The following is a 14873-nucleotide window of genomic DNA, read 5'->3' as shown; positions in this document are numbered from 1 at the left end:
AGGGGAGCAAGTTCCCCTGATGATGGAAGGAAAGAGGCCCCAGAGAGGAGAGGGCAGGGACGCATGATACAGCAGATCAGATGAGGCTCCCAAGACAGAAGGAGGCTTTCGGGTGCTACAGAAGTCTCTGCTGGGCTCAGTGCTGCTGAAGCCTCGCTGAGGGGTTGATGGAGAATCTTGGAAGGCCAATCTTCTCATCCGTGGACATCCTTAGGGGCAGAATACCATGGGTGGGGGTTATGGGATTTGAAGACCCCTGGCCACTGGGGGGCCAGAGGGCTTGCAACCTGCAGAGAACCCCTAGGGTTGTTCCCTTCTCAGTAGATCCTAAAGCCCTGAACTGCTCATAGGGTCCTTGGTGGCCTAGCCCTTACCAACCTCTCCAGCCCCCTCTGAAGCCCTCCCCACCTCCTCTTGCTTTTTTCCACAACCCTCCTGAACTTCTCCAGCCACCGCAGCTGCTGCGGCTCACCTCTGGGCCGGCACACACACTGTTCACTCTGCCGAGACACCTTTCCTTCTCCGCTCAGTAGCATCTGGACCCCCCGCCCAGCAGGCTTCAGTGCCCATGCTCCTGCTCCCTCCAGCACCCAGGTGTCATGACCAGTGGACAGCTGTTAAATATGAGAACCCTGCTCATCGAGGGCCAGGTGCTGAGTGAGGAGGAGAAAGATAGGGATAAGGAAAGGCAGAAACGTGCCCCAGAACAAGGATCTCCTAGGGCTGGGCTCTGGGAGCCGGGAAGTCAGCACACGGTGTGGAAAGTGCTCTGATACGTGGGACTCCAGGGTTCTTTGAGAGCCTGGAGGAGTAGTGCAGGGTACCTGGCTCAGAGGAGGGTGGCTGCAGCCAGAGAAGGCTGCCTGGAGGAGGGGATCCCAAAGCCCTGAACGGCTCATTCCAGTGAGTGTTCTTCTTACTGCCTCAGGCTGCCCACTTGGCCTCTGGATGAATGGAGCTGTGGTCCTGAGGTGGTATCCAGGAGCCAGGGGTGGGTTTGGTGCGCCCAGGACCCCAGGGATGGGGCGTGTTGCCTAAGGCACCCACACCGGCAGGAGCCCCGTGGCCTCTGGCTCTCTGATTGTCTTTGTATTGGTTTGTTGGGACTGTCATGGCAGAGGACCACAGACTGGGGGTTTAAACAGCAGGAGTTTATTTTTCAGAGTTCTGGAAGCTCAACGTCACAAGTTCAAGGTCAAAGCACCCGTGGGTTTGCTTTCTCCTGAGTCCCCTCCTCAGCTTGCAGAGGCCCCTCCTGTATGCATCCTGGGGTCTCTGTATCTTTCTATAAGGACACCAGTCAGATTGGATTAAGGCCCACCAAACGGCCTCATCTTAAATTAATCGCCTCTTTAAAGGCCCTGCTTCCAAATACAGTCACCCCTGACTGGGAGTTCGGCTTCAACATATTAATTTTGTGGGGTGCACAATATTGTCCATGACAGTAGGTGAGCCACATGATATTTGCATAATTTGTGTAACTTTTACCAACCTCTACAGAGTATGTAAACTGCACCTGAAGCATTTTAAAATGTGAATATGCCTGTTGTTGCTTTTCTTCGCTGGTTCTTGAGTTCTCCCTGTTCACCCACTGGGTTTCCTAACCCCAGCTTTCCCCAACAGGTGCATCCCAGCACAGAAGGGCAGCACAGAGGCAGCCTGAGAAGATTCTGTCGCTGCCAGGTCACCAGGACCTCTGGACCACAGCTGGGTTGCGCTGTTTTCCAGTTTGTGAAACTAGGACTTTGGGGAACATCCTGTGAATTGGTGTCATTTTGATTTTCCTGGAGGATTTTTGAGGTCAGCGTGACTGCTGTCACTGTAAGTGTGGGTGTGCTTTCCCACAAGAAGCATCCTGAGTCTGCGGGAAGGTGGGGACTTCCCAGTTTGGGGGCCTGAGGGTCCCTTCCAGGGAGCTGCAGTGACCGAGCCACCTGGGTCTCGTCCTCATTAAGGAAAGCATGCTGCAGGTGATGGTGGACAAGCGGCGCTTTGTTGCCGCCTTCCCCTCAAGGGACTCAGGGCTCTTCAAAGGCGGCTCCCTTTGATTGCCCCACCCCCACGTTAGGGGACTGTCCCTAGCTTTTCATTCCGTGGTTTTGCTTCCCAGGCAGTGACTGTTCTGAGGAACCTATTCGTCCACAGCCCCACTTTCGCCTCTAAAAGGAGCTGGAATGGCTCCTTACTGCCCTCCTGCCAGGCCCTCGACTGAATCCAATATAGAGACCTTTATAGGCATTAATTATAACCAAGGACTGCATGCTGTGTTTTATAGGCAAGTCTTCCCTGCTCTGTTTAACGTCCTAGCAGAAACCTCATAACAAATTAACATTTATATGGGCCCGTTAATCTTCAAAGCCTTTCACTGACTTGAGTCAATTCCAGTGACCCTCGTGGGCAGTAATAAGCCTTTTAGGACTCCTATCCTTTTCCCTTCTCCTTCTACTTCTTTGTAGATAAAGAAAAAACAAACCCAGAGAAACGTGTCATGCTCTGTGCGAGCTCCTGCATCAGAGCTGCGGGTGGGTTTGGCTGGGCGGTGTTCCAGGCGTCTGGTTTCATGCTCTGACCAACACACGCCTCCCCTCAAAGCTGCTGTGGAAGGGCTCAAAGCCGCGTTTCATTCCCAAAGCCTTTGACTAACTCTGAACAAGCTGCTTTTCATTAGGCACGCACACAAGCCTGCACACGCACGTGCATACATGCATGCACACACCTCTCTCAAACTGGATAAGAGGTTTCTGTGTGAGGGGTGGGGAATAGAGGGAGCTGGAATTCTCTGCAGAGCCCATGTCAGCTGAACAGGATGTGTACTGGCCGCTGGGTTCAGTGTGTGTTGACCAGGGGCCAGCCCCCTTCCCGCTTCAGTCCAGCTCAGGTGTCAGTTGACGGCTTGTGTGTGCGGAGCCAGGCTGAGTTATAGAGCCTTATACTTTATTTCCAAACCTGCAATTCCACCCGCGTTTTTGTCAGTTAATTACATACAGAGCCCCTTTATTTGCAGGGAAATATGTGAGTGGAGTTCTTTCTTTGTGGGTGTGGACGAGGCAGCTCTCACTCCTGCGAGGACGCGTCCAGCTCCTTGAGGAGTACGGTGGCAGGGAAGGGGACAGCACTGTCATGGAGTCAGATCTGAATCACGTCCACGGAGCGGTTTACTTTGGGAATTACCTCCTATACATTTCAAATTCCATGTTGGTCCCCATTTGCTACTCTTTCAGAACTAAAATAAAATCCGAAGTCCCCAAGTGACTGAACAGACCCCCTCTTGGCCAAGGGGACCCCAGAGAAACCTGAAAGCTGAGCTCCCAGCCATGAGGGGACGGGCGATCGGACACGCTTCATCACAGTCCCTCCCCTTTGTGGTTTAAACGACGATGATCGGCTGTCATGCTAAAATAGAGACACGAGACCGACAGCACAGACTCCTTATGGCAATAAGACACCAAATTATAAGCAGCACCTCAGGCCACGCCAGGTAAGGGTCGAGCCGCGCACTCTACACTTAGAGAACGGACTCTGCTCTCACACCACAGCGTCTTCTTTTTCTTCAGCAGCTAAACACGCACCGGCCCCGAGATTCAAACGACTGCAGCTCATCCACCTGCAGACGCTGGCTGACCCCGTTCCACAGCTGTGACTATAGCTTTGATTGGACAAGAGGTTGATTTCAGTCTCCTGGTAAGAGACCACCAACCATAGACCTGGTTCAGGCTGATTATAGAAGCTGCACACTTGTATGCCTTCGAGTCCCTGCCTCACCTTTTGACGTGTAGGGACTCATTGTAATGCTTTTAAATGTGAAGCCTCCACCCCAAAGTGAACATGGGACGCATGTAACGTGCATGTTCAGTGGGCACGGCTCAGGACTCTCTTTGTGAATATTCATAGCTCCTCCTGGAACCTGAATATGTATGTTTGGCCAGCTCAATTCAGCATGAGGCTCCTGCTGCAACACCGCCTCCTTCCAGGTGCCTGCCAGCTGTTTCTGCCAGAGGCTGCGTCTCCCGGCCTGTCAGAATGGCCACCCTGCAGGCTGTAATCCTTTAGAAGAAATAAAGATCCCCTTTCCAGATGTATAGATCTTGTGATTTTTTTCCATTCACATCCTTGCATCTTATAATGCCCTGTCTCCATGGGGGTTACATAGAAAGCCCTCAGCCTCTAGGGCAGATGGAGCCAGGACTGAGGGTGGGGGTGGAGAAGGATCAGGAGACTCACTTCAAGGACTTTCTGGTGCCGGCAGTGTAGGCTTGCCAGATGAAATACAGGACACCCAGCAACATGAACTTTCGTAATTTTTATAGTGTAAATGTGTTCCAAATATTGCATGGGACATGCTTATCCTGAAGAATTATTCATTGTTTATCTGAAATCCAAATTTAACTAGGTGTCCTGTATTTTTATTTGCTAAATCTGGTGACCCTTCACTGGGGAGACGCTTTTAAACAGCCTCAACTTAGAAATTCTTCTCTTCCTGCCAAAAGCGCTAGGGTCTGTATATGGGTGCATGGAAACACGAAATTATTGTCACAGGACTGAAGAGTATGAAAGACTTCTAGTAACCACCAGCTGTGGCAGGGGCCTGTGCAGGGGGTACCCTGGCAGGGAGGAAGCTGCCTTAATTTTCAACCTCGGACAGAAAAGCGCATCTGTTAGACACAGCAGAAAGCAGACCTACATGTATGGTTAATAAGGACTATGTATTTGACTGCTGTGGGTTCAATTGTGTCCCTGCGAGAGACACATTGAAGTCCTAACCCCTGCTGCTTCAGCATTTGGCTTTATTTGGAAATAAGGTCACTGCCAGTGCAGTTAGCTGAGATGAAATCATACTGGTGTCTGGTGGGCCCTTATTCCAATATGACTCGTGATATCACAAGAAGAGGAGGACAGACACAGAGACACACTCCAGAGGGAGAAGGCCATGTGACAGCCACGGACTGCTGGAAGCAGCGGAATCTAAAGGCAAGGCAGGGAACAGATTCTCCCTCCCAGTCCTTCGAGAGAACCAACTCTGCCGACAGCTTGATTTCAGAATTCTGGTTTCCAGAACGGTGAGAGAATAAATTCCTGTTGTTTTAAGCCTCCCGTTTGTGGTGCTTTGTTATGGCAGCCCCAGGGACTAATGCAGTCACCGTCACTTGATTGCAGACAAAACGACTGAGGGTTCTCTGCAATGAATTTCAAGTTCTGAATTGAAAGAGGCTTCAGAGCCTGAAGAAAGAGGCGATGCCAGCACTCTCTGGAGTGGGATCCACAGAAGCAGAGAAAGCCCAGGGGATGAGCCAACCCAGAATCCAAACGCCCGTGGATCGGGCCAGACCCAGGACGGCGCTATCTTGCACACCCATCACAGGCTTGGGGACACTAGAACTGCACTGTCAGATATTCCTGACTTCATGTGTGTGTGTTTGTGTGTGTGTAGATCAGGCCATATGATTTACTTGCTGCACTCTGAGCGATGCTGTGTAGATAAAGCTATATTATCTATTTGCTACACTCTGAATAATGCCTTCCTCAGTGATAATCATAATCAAGTGAGCTTTGGATTGTCATTATGAAGTCTCAAATTAAAACAATTGGTTGAGATACTGCCAGCAAGGCAACTAGATCGGGGATTGCAGCTGCTGATGCCAGTCTAGTATTTAGGTAAGAGGATGCCTCCACCCTCTTAGAGCATGTGGCTTGCACATCCATTCTTTCAGTGCAGGAAGGGCTGGAGTGTCCACTCCCTACTCCCAACCCCATCAGTTGTTGTATGGTCCAAAATGCAAAGTAATTTTAATGTGATCCAAGATGCATATAAAAACATTTTAAAAACAGATATGTTATGCATTGCTTAGAATGATGCACCATCCGCTTCATGAACAAGCAAGAACTAACTCTATCATTGACTTCATCCACAAATACTAGAGGTGATGAACTTGAGGTCAAAGTTCCGAAGTCAGACAGCATGGGTTTATTCATCGCCTGCTATGTGCAAATCCTAGATGTCACCAGGCTCTGCTCACTTGGTGTCTTGGCCACTCTGGGTGATGTTTACACAAGGCTTGGTGGCTTTGAGATGGGTTGCAAACAAGAGATATCAGTTGTTGGACTTTTGCTTATAGCTTGGGGTTGGACATCCTCTATCCCTCGATACCTCCTTGCACCCATCAGCCGTTATCTTTGAAGGAAACTTTTTCCTTGAGTCTGGTTCCTTGTCTTCAGGTTCTAACCTCATGGTTTTGGATCCTTGTCCCTATGGTTGTGATCCTTCCTGTCCTTGGCTCTAGTGCTCTTTTTTTTTTTTTTTTCTATTTCTTTCCTCTACCTGTGCACATGACCTCTTTGAAGAGCTCACCTCCTCCAGGAAGCCTCCCTGGAATCACCCTTTTGCCTTCCATTCTCCTTGTTTATACAGTCCATGTCAGTATATCCAAATTGAATTATCGCGGTGTGCTGCTTTGCAATGTGTATCTGATTTCACCAAAACCCTCTACTGTCTCTAATCCCGGGTATCCAATTTCATGTGAAGTTCAGTGATGTGCTCCTCCCTCCTCCTCTTGCACGCATGAGCAGGTACTCAACACTTTCTGGTCCAGCTACATGTGACATGAGGCCACTCACGCTCTTTTTAATTAACCCTTATGACAATCATGTGCGTTATGGAGAAAATTAATGGAGGAAAAATTACAGAGTCACCCGAAACAGTTGCGCTGCTTATCACCCGGTGTTTGAGCCTGTTTCCCCTGTAATTAGATTACATGTGAGGCAGCCCCAGCTAATTGTCTGTGCCACCCACCGGGGAACTCCAGCTCTATCTGTGAACACCCAGGCCTTCCCGCCGCAGGACAGATGTTGGGTGAGGCTTGCCTCCCACGCAAACATCTGCTCTGTTGTTCCGAGTCAGTCACGAGAGCCAGCCGGCTTAGACAAGCAGGGGATGAATTCCTGGGCGAGATGCTTGATCCTGCCAAGTTTCTGAGCACCAGGCTTGGGCCTCTTGAACAGTTCCCTGCATCTTCCATGATCGGCCAGTGCCTCTGCTTCTGCATTTAGAAACCAGAGTTCACTTCTGGTGGCCTCAAGCCAAAATGAGTCTACGAACCAGAAGTCTCTTGACATTGACACTGATAAACTTTGATATGGAAGCATTTTTGTTTTTGGCAACCATCAATTTTTTTTTGTTTTTCCTCAAACACATGCATGGATGATGTGAGAACCGGTACCTGGAAACTGAGAGACTGCCGCATGTGTTTCGGGCTCCCAGCTCTATCCATAACTGTCTTTGGGGGCTTCCTAGGCAACCTGGGTTTTGACCCTGCTGCCTCCTGGTCCAAGAACTCTGCCCTGTGGCCTGGCAGGAGGCCTGGCCCAGCCAGGGACCGTGGGGGCAGCCTGCGGTGGCGGTTGATTTTTTTTTTAAGCACATAATAATTTGCAGATGTTGGCAGTTACCAGGGAAGTCAGAGCAAAGCTGCAAATGCCAAACCACAACAATATATCATTTTAACCGTCTTATTCCTGGAAATGTGACAGCATCATAGTAAAACAATTCACAAAGACGAATATGCCTGCTGCCTTCGGGCAGCCTACTGCTGCCAATTTGGTGGAGATTATCGGCCATTTATCAATTGTGTTGCTCTACAGAGAAGAAGAGAAATCTCTTTGCTTCTATTTGTGCCGCAGGAAGATCACCTGTCTTCCTCAAGTGACAGTGCATCTTTAAAAAATTCCGACTGCACAGAGCTTGTCTGAAAAGTGATACAACAGCATTGGTGTAGGTTTCTAGTGTCCATGCCAGTGGCTCTTACCCTGTTCTGTGTCATGAACCCCTGCGGCAGCCTAGGGAAGCCTATGGACCCTTTCTCAGAATTCAGACTTCAAATGCATGAAAAAAAGTACATGGGCTTCCCAAGGAAACCAGTATGTTGAAATACAGCTAACAAAATGTAACAAAATGTAACAATCCCCACCCCGCCCTCCCAACTGTGATATGATAGTGCACATGTTTTTTATTAATAGCTTAAGACAAGATTGAGTTGTCCGCCTTATAACCACCATAATTACAAAGCAGAGAGAAGGATGAAAGTCACTGATGATACTGGCAACAGCTGCAATGCAGTATGAAAATATCCGTGATTTCGACAATCACAGGTGTGTCCCCCACAGTGTGCTTCATTGCCTGTGTTCCTAATGGAAGAAAAGGCCAACATGTAGTTAGAAGTCAGGGAAAATAAAAATGGAATTTCTTTCCTATCTAAGTTCACACACCTCCTGACTCCTCACCCAGGTTAAGACTTTGCGAGGAAGAAAAGGCCAACATGTAGTTAGAAGTCAGGGAAAATAAAAATGGAATTTCTTTCCTATCTAAGTTCACAGACCTCCTGACTCCTCACCCAGGTTAAGACCCCGTGTTCTGTGCTACAGTGGTGGCAGCTCCAGGCATGCCCTGGCCCTGCCCTGCCCCGGACAACCTCGTGTGCAGAGTCCAGCCTGGTCCTGGCAGCTCGGGTGGCGCTCTAGCTGTGGCCATTTCTAGGTCCTGTTTTACCTTCCCTCAACTCTGCTCACTGAACCAGGTCCTCATGATGGGGCTAAGGAATGTAACCCCTTTCAAACACTTTTACACTGTTGGTGGGAGTATAAATTAGTTCAGCCATTGTGGAACACAGTGTGGCGATACCTCAAAGACCTAAAGACAGAAATATCGTTCAACTGAGCAATCCCATTGCTGGGTACATCCCCAAAGGAATATAAATCATTCTATTATAAAGACACATGTAAGGGAATGTTCATTGCGGCAGCACTCACAATAGCAAAGACAGAATCAACCTAAGTGCCCACCAATGGTAGACTGGATAAAGAAGATGTGGTGTATACACACCATGGAATACTACGCAGCCATAAAAAAGAACGAGATCGTGTCTTTTTCAGGGACGTGGATGGAGCTGGAGGCCATTATCCTTCGCACGCTAGCACAGAAACAGAAAACCAAATACCACATGTTCTCACTTATAAGTGGGAGCTAAATAATGAGAACGCATGGACACACGGAAGGGAACAACACACACTGGGGCCTTTTGGAGGGTGGGAGGAAAAAGAGGATCAGGAAAAACAACTAATGGGTTTTAGGCTTAATACCTGGGTGATGAAATCATCTGTACGACAAACCCCCATGACACAAGTGTGCCTATATAACAAACCTGCGGTTGTACTTTTGAACTTAAAATAAGAGCACCCAGTCTTTGGATGGAGGGCCCACCCTCAATCCAGGATGATTTCATCTCAAGACCTTTAAACTGATCACATCTGCAAAGACCCTATTTCAAAACAAGGTCATATTCATGGGTACTAGGGGTTAGGACTTAAACATATCCTTTTTGAGGACACAAGCCAGCCTGCTACAGTGCCTGACTTAGGAAGAGCCTGAAGGAGTGTAGAAACCAGGGGGATGGAGAAGCTGAAGCTGGCCTAATCTAGACCCCAAACCTTGGGTTCCATCAGAACAACACGGCCTTGCTTTCCTGAGAATCTACACTGTGCCCGAAACTGAGTGTGGGGCTCCTGCTAAGTCGTCTCAGTGAATTCCCACAACCACACGTGGACAGCACAGGGCTGTTGTATTTGAATCCAGACGGCCTCCTGCCCAGTGCTCCCGTGAGCTGCCTATCAATGTCCTTCCCGCCCCATCCAGGAAGCTAGCCACAAAGCACATGTGGCTATTTAGATTTAAAATTATTAAAGTTGCCGGGCGCAGTGGCTCACGCCTGTAATCCTAACACTTTGGGAGGCCAAGGCAGGTGGATTGCCTGAGCTCAGGAGTTCCAGACCAGCCTGGGCAACATGGCGAAACCCCGTCTCCATTAAAAATACAAAAAATTAGCCGGCCGTGGTGGCTTGCGCTGCGATGCGCGCCTGTAGTCCCAACTACTCGGGAGGCTGAGGCACGAGAATCGCTTAAACCCGGGAGGTGGAGGTTTCAGTAAGCCAACATCGTGCCACTGTACTCCAGTCTGGGGGACAGAGCAAGACTCTGTCTCGAAAATACAATACACTAAAATAAAGTTAAATAAAATTTAAAATCCAATTCCTCCATTGCCATTGTCGTGAGCGGCTACCATTTGCATAGCACGGATAGGGCGCGTCATGAACGGATGGCGCTGCTCTAGACCAATGTTCACGTGTATTGTATAATTATACCTGCATCAACTACAGAACAGCTAACCAGAGTCCCCAGTTAACTCAACTTTTTTTTTTTTTTTTTGGCCAAATAATTTTGTGGAGAAAGAAGCAAAGGAGAGTCAGACAAGAGGACAAAGGAATTTAGAAAATGCAGCCGCATTCCAATGAACGCCAGGGAGCAGCCAACTGTTAGCACCATCTCGGGGTCTTGTGGAATTGCCATAGAAATGTGATCCCCAGGCAGACACCTGTAATCCCAGCTACTCAGGAGGCTGAGGCAGGAGAATCGCTTGAACCCAGGAGGCGGGCTTGCAGTGAGCTGAGATCACGCCGCTGCACTCCAGCCTGGCAACAGAGCGAGACCCTGTCTCAAAAGAAAAAAAAAAAAATGACCCCCAGGTACAGACTCCCGCATTCAAACAAGCAAGATAAAATTATATAGACTCTACTGCCCTTGCTAAGGCAAGAAGATAGACTGTGATTTTCGCCACTGATGTGCAGAGATTGCAATGGCTTCCTTGAACCAGATGGGAAAATGAGCTTATACTCCTCATTTTTGAGCATTTCACTTGATTAAGTTTTAACTGTGTTCAGGGATTGGGGGAAGGGCAATTGCTGGCCACTGAACCCCAATTCCTTCATTTCCTCATGGTTGGAGGATTTCTTGAACATTGATCTGTGTTTTATAATGATGCTAGTGAAAAAGTTCCAAAGGGAGGTGACTCTTTGATGTTCCAACCATGACAGCCTGAGTAGTGCTTGTTAGGGAGTGGGTGCTGGGGGAAATTGGCTGGGCACACTTGGTTCCTCAACAGGGAGCTGCTGGAAGAACGGGGCATGGAGAGGGGCTCCCGAAGACACCATTGGGCTGAGGGATTCACTGTGGCTGGCGTGCATTGAAAGGAGAGATGGAGTTGGCTTTGTCCCAGGGTTGCTTAGCACTTTTGACTGGGGCTGGGGCTTGGCAGGTACACAGGGTGACTTCCATAACCGGTGCCCTTTTAGGCGAGGCAGGTTCAAGCTGTAGGCAAATCTCGGAGGCCATAGTAATCGCCTTTGTGCATACCTTGGTCCAGACAAGAATCACCCACTCTGTGTTCTTGCTGACAGCTGGGGAAACAGAGGAAGCCTGTGATCAAGGTCCAGAACGCACCCATGGGAAAGCGTGGGAGTCACAGGATGACAGTGCGCCGAAGTCCATCCCCGGGCTGCTGTCCTCAGGGGCTCTGGAGCCACAAGGCAGCCGGGGGCCTGCGGGTCCATTCTAGGTACCTTCCCCCTGCCTTGTGTGCCTTGGGTCCCCTGGTTGGCTTTCTCACAGAGAAGTTGCTGTTTTAGACTTTATATTGTGGTATAAGCCAAACCACAGTGGCAGGTGGCCTTATCTTAAGGGAGGGCTGGTGGATGCTCCCACCTCTCCTGTGAAGGGCTTGGGACCCTGGGGTCTGGGGACATCCTTCTCCACCTGTCATCCTGACTCATTCATGAAAGAGTGGCTTCAATGCCTCTCTGTCGAGTTGTACGGTTTTCCTGAAAACAAGGAGACATGCCCGGGTCACTCAGCCTGCCTGGTTCCTCTAACCTGGCATGACAGAGACCGTTGCAGGCTGAGTGTATGTGTGTGGGAGGTGGGGAGGTGCTCTCAGATTCCTTCTGAAAACACCCCCACACTCCAAGAAGTCCTGGAAAGTCTTTAGGAAGAAGAGGTAGCAGTGAACCAAGTTGAGATTTGCCAAAATGCCAATAAATTCCCCGCAGAGTGGCACCATGGGGAGGGGAGAGAGGCAAGAACCCTGAACTTATAAAACCACCCCTTGCACCCACCCAGATCAGCCGGCTCTCTGAGATCACCTGGCCACATCCACAAACAGAGCCTGGGGTGGGGTGGGGAAACGCTTTCTTCAGCCTCCTGGGGGCTCAGTGCAGGCAGCCCTGTCCCCCGGCCGAATGGGGCATCTTCCATCACCCAGGTGCCCAGACACATGGACAATGGGTAGAGGCACCCCTCCGAGCCCTTGGACAAGGCCTGAGTATCCTTTCCCGTCCGCATCCTGCACTCAGTATGGTTCCCTGCACCAAGTTGCGTCCATGTCCCATAGGCTGACCCTGGGATGTGCTTGTCTAATCCAGCAGGAAAAGCCCACAGGTCACCTTGCCTATGCATTTTCAGCCTACGTCTGCTGAAGCCCACCAGGAAACAGAGAAAAAAAATTGGCATTTGCTTCTAGATTCTCCTTTGTTTTTCTATTCTTCCCGCACGGCTTCAGTAACTCAGGGATCTGCAAATGTTCACTGGGGATGTTGGGGTGAGGAGGTGGGAGGAACCAGCTCTCTTGTAATCTAGGAAGGCTTCTTGCAGGAGGTGAAACTTTTTTCTTTATAAGGGCTAATTGCCAAGGGTAAGGAGACATACCACAATCAGCTGAAGGAATGTGGTGTGAGGGAACACAGGAAAGAATGAAGAGCTGATTGTAAAGGTTGGCGGGCGGATTATCTGAAGCCCACTGGGGGCTGCTCCCAGGTGTGGGTAGATGGTGCCTGGGGAATGGCCCCAGTGGAGGCCAGTCTTCTGGTTGTGAAATGCAGTTTGGAAAGATAATTATACCATAGTGCTGCTTACATTCATTTCAAGAACTTGTAAACCTGCTCACTCACTGACTGCGTGGTCAGGGTGTCACTGCAGACATAAATAACAGGGCTTTTTTATTTTGCAAGAAACTTTGTTATTAGTCACATATATGGTCTTGCCTACTTCTCTTCCTGGTTTACTTTGGTTTTGCTGCCTCTGCACTTGTTGGTAGCTGGGATGGTTTCACCACTGAAGGAGGTCAAAGGGTGGTCCTGGGGGAGGTGGCTGTGTGCTGTGTGCACCACATCCCCCAGAAGGAGCTGTCACAGGTGATAGGCATGCTGCTTGAAGAAGTCAGTGCTAGCTCACAAGTGTTAGTATTTACTCGATTCATCTGAGGAACTTTCAGACATGCAGATTCCCTGTGAATCAAAATCACAATGAGATACTATCTCACACCAGGCAGCATGGCTAAAACAACAGGTGCTGGCGAGGCTGGGGAGAAAGGGGAAGGCTTATACACCGTTGGTGGCAGTGTAAATTAGTTCAGCCACTGAGGAAAGCAGCTTGGAGATTACTCAAATAACTTGACATGAATGCTAGGCTTAATACCTGGGTGATGAAATCATCTGTACAACAAACCCCCAGGACACAAGTTTACCTGTGTAGCAAACCTGCTCATGTACCCCTGAACTTAAAAGTTAAATAAAAAACTAAACAAAAACCATGTTTTCCAATATATTTCAAATTTTTTAAAAAGAGAAGAGAGTCTAATGGGATTGTAACACAAAGGATAAATGCTTGAGGAGATGGATACCCCATTTTTCATGATGTGATTATTGCTCATTGTGTGCTGGTACCAAAATATCTCATGTACCCCATAAATATATACACCTACTATGTACCCACAAAAATTAAAAATAAAAAAAATTTTTAAAAAGAACGTAAGACAGAGTTACCATTTGACCTAGCAATCCCATGACTGGGTATGTACCCAAAATAAAATTATTCTACCAAAAAGACACACACCCATATGTTCATCACAGCACTATTCACAATAGCAAAGGCAGGGACTCAACCTAGGTGCCTGCCCATGGTGGACTGGATAAAGAAAATGTGGTACATGCACATCATGGAATATGACACAGCAATTAAAAAAGAACAAAGTCATGTCCTTTGCAGCAACATGGATGTAGCTGGAGGCCATTATCCTAAGGGAATGAAATGCAGGAACAGAAAACCAAATGCCTCATGTTCTCACTTATAAGTGGGAGCTAAACAGTGGGTGTTCATGGACCTAAAAATGGCAGCAATAGAAACTGGGGACTCCAAAGGGAGAGAGGAAGGGAGGGGGACAACGGTTGAAAAACTAACTGTTGGATGCTATGCCCACTATCTGGGTGACAGGATCATTCCTATCCTAAATCTCAGTGTCATGCAATATATCTGTGTAGCAAACCTGAATGTGTACCCCCTGCATCTAAAATAGAAGTTGAAATTATTTTTTAAAATGCAGATTTTTGGCCCTGTCCCAGGGAATCTGGTTTGGTAGGCCTAGGAACCTGCATTCTAATGAGCACCTCCAAGTGAACTCCAGGTTGGGGAACCCTGCTGACGGTCAGGTAAGCAAAATTCCTCCATGTGAAACTGTCCCAGAGGGCACGGTAGCTCTCCTGTGCTTTTTTTTTTTAAATCTCATTTACGAATATAGATATACATTATTCTAAATAAAATATAAAAATAGAACCAACCCAAATGTCCATCAATGATAGATTGGATTAAGAAAATGTGGCACATATATACCATGGAATACTGTGCAGCGATAAAAAAGGTTGAGTTCATGTCCTTTGTAGGGACATGGATGAAGCTGGAAGCCATTATTCTGAGCAAACTATCGCAAGTACAGAAAACCAAACACCGCATGTTCTCGCTCCTGTGCTTTTGATACAAAGTGCCAATATTTCAATTTTTCTCAAAACAGGGCCTGTCCTGATAAATGTTCTACCTAGAGAATGTTCTTTTAAGGGCTAAAGGGAATGCAGAAGCCTAAATACAAAGCAAGTGCCCCTGCCACTCATAACTGCCACATCCCCATAGAAACATTCACTTTCATTAGCTGGAGAGGAGTTTCTCT

At 48.4% G+C, this 14873-nt stretch overlaps 1 long non-coding RNA gene across 5 annotated transcripts in view, besides 2 other annotated features; it reads left to right on the top strand.

The window, feature by feature from the left end:
- Nucleotides 1-7297, top strand: part of LINC02940 (long intergenic non-protein coding RNA 2940) — a 33906-nt gene extending 26609 nt beyond the window's left edge. For 3 of the 5 annotated variants that reach the window (XR_007067868.1, XR_007067869.1, XR_007067865.1), the window contains 2 exons: nt 1624-1821; nt 3222-4079. This is a non-coding gene — a long non-coding RNA (long intergenic non-protein coding RNA 2940). Of the gene's footprint in view, nt 1-1623; nt 1822-3221; nt 5058-5154 lie in introns of those variants that run through there. The other 2 variants (XR_007067867.1, XR_007067866.1) reach the window with 2 other exon arrangements.
- Nucleotides 1448-3215: an enhancer, noted in NCBI's record as "VISTA enhancer hs1516". NCBI's record gives its function as "enhancer in: hindbrain (rhombencephalon)[4/5] | forebrain[4/5] | limb[4/5] | tail[4/5]" and the evidence as "EXISTENCE:transgenic organism evidence [ECO:0001131][PMID:17130149]".
- Nucleotides 6914-7083: an enhancer, noted in NCBI's record as "active region_18464". NCBI's record gives its function as "activates an Ori minimal core promoter by ATAC-STARR-seq in GM12878 lymphoblastoid cells {active_cell/tissue: GM12878}" and the evidence as "EXISTENCE:reporter gene assay evidence [ECO:0000049][PMID:35858748]".
- Nucleotides 7298-14873: the final 7576 nt, after the last annotated feature.

The sequence above is a fragment of the Homo sapiens genome, chromosome 21 (assembly GCF_000001405.40).
Source record: "Homo sapiens chromosome 21, GRCh38.p14 Primary Assembly".
NCBI lineage: Eukaryota > Metazoa > Chordata > Mammalia > Primates > Hominidae > Homo > Homo sapiens.
This window is presented reverse-complemented; position numbering and strand designations above follow the sequence as displayed.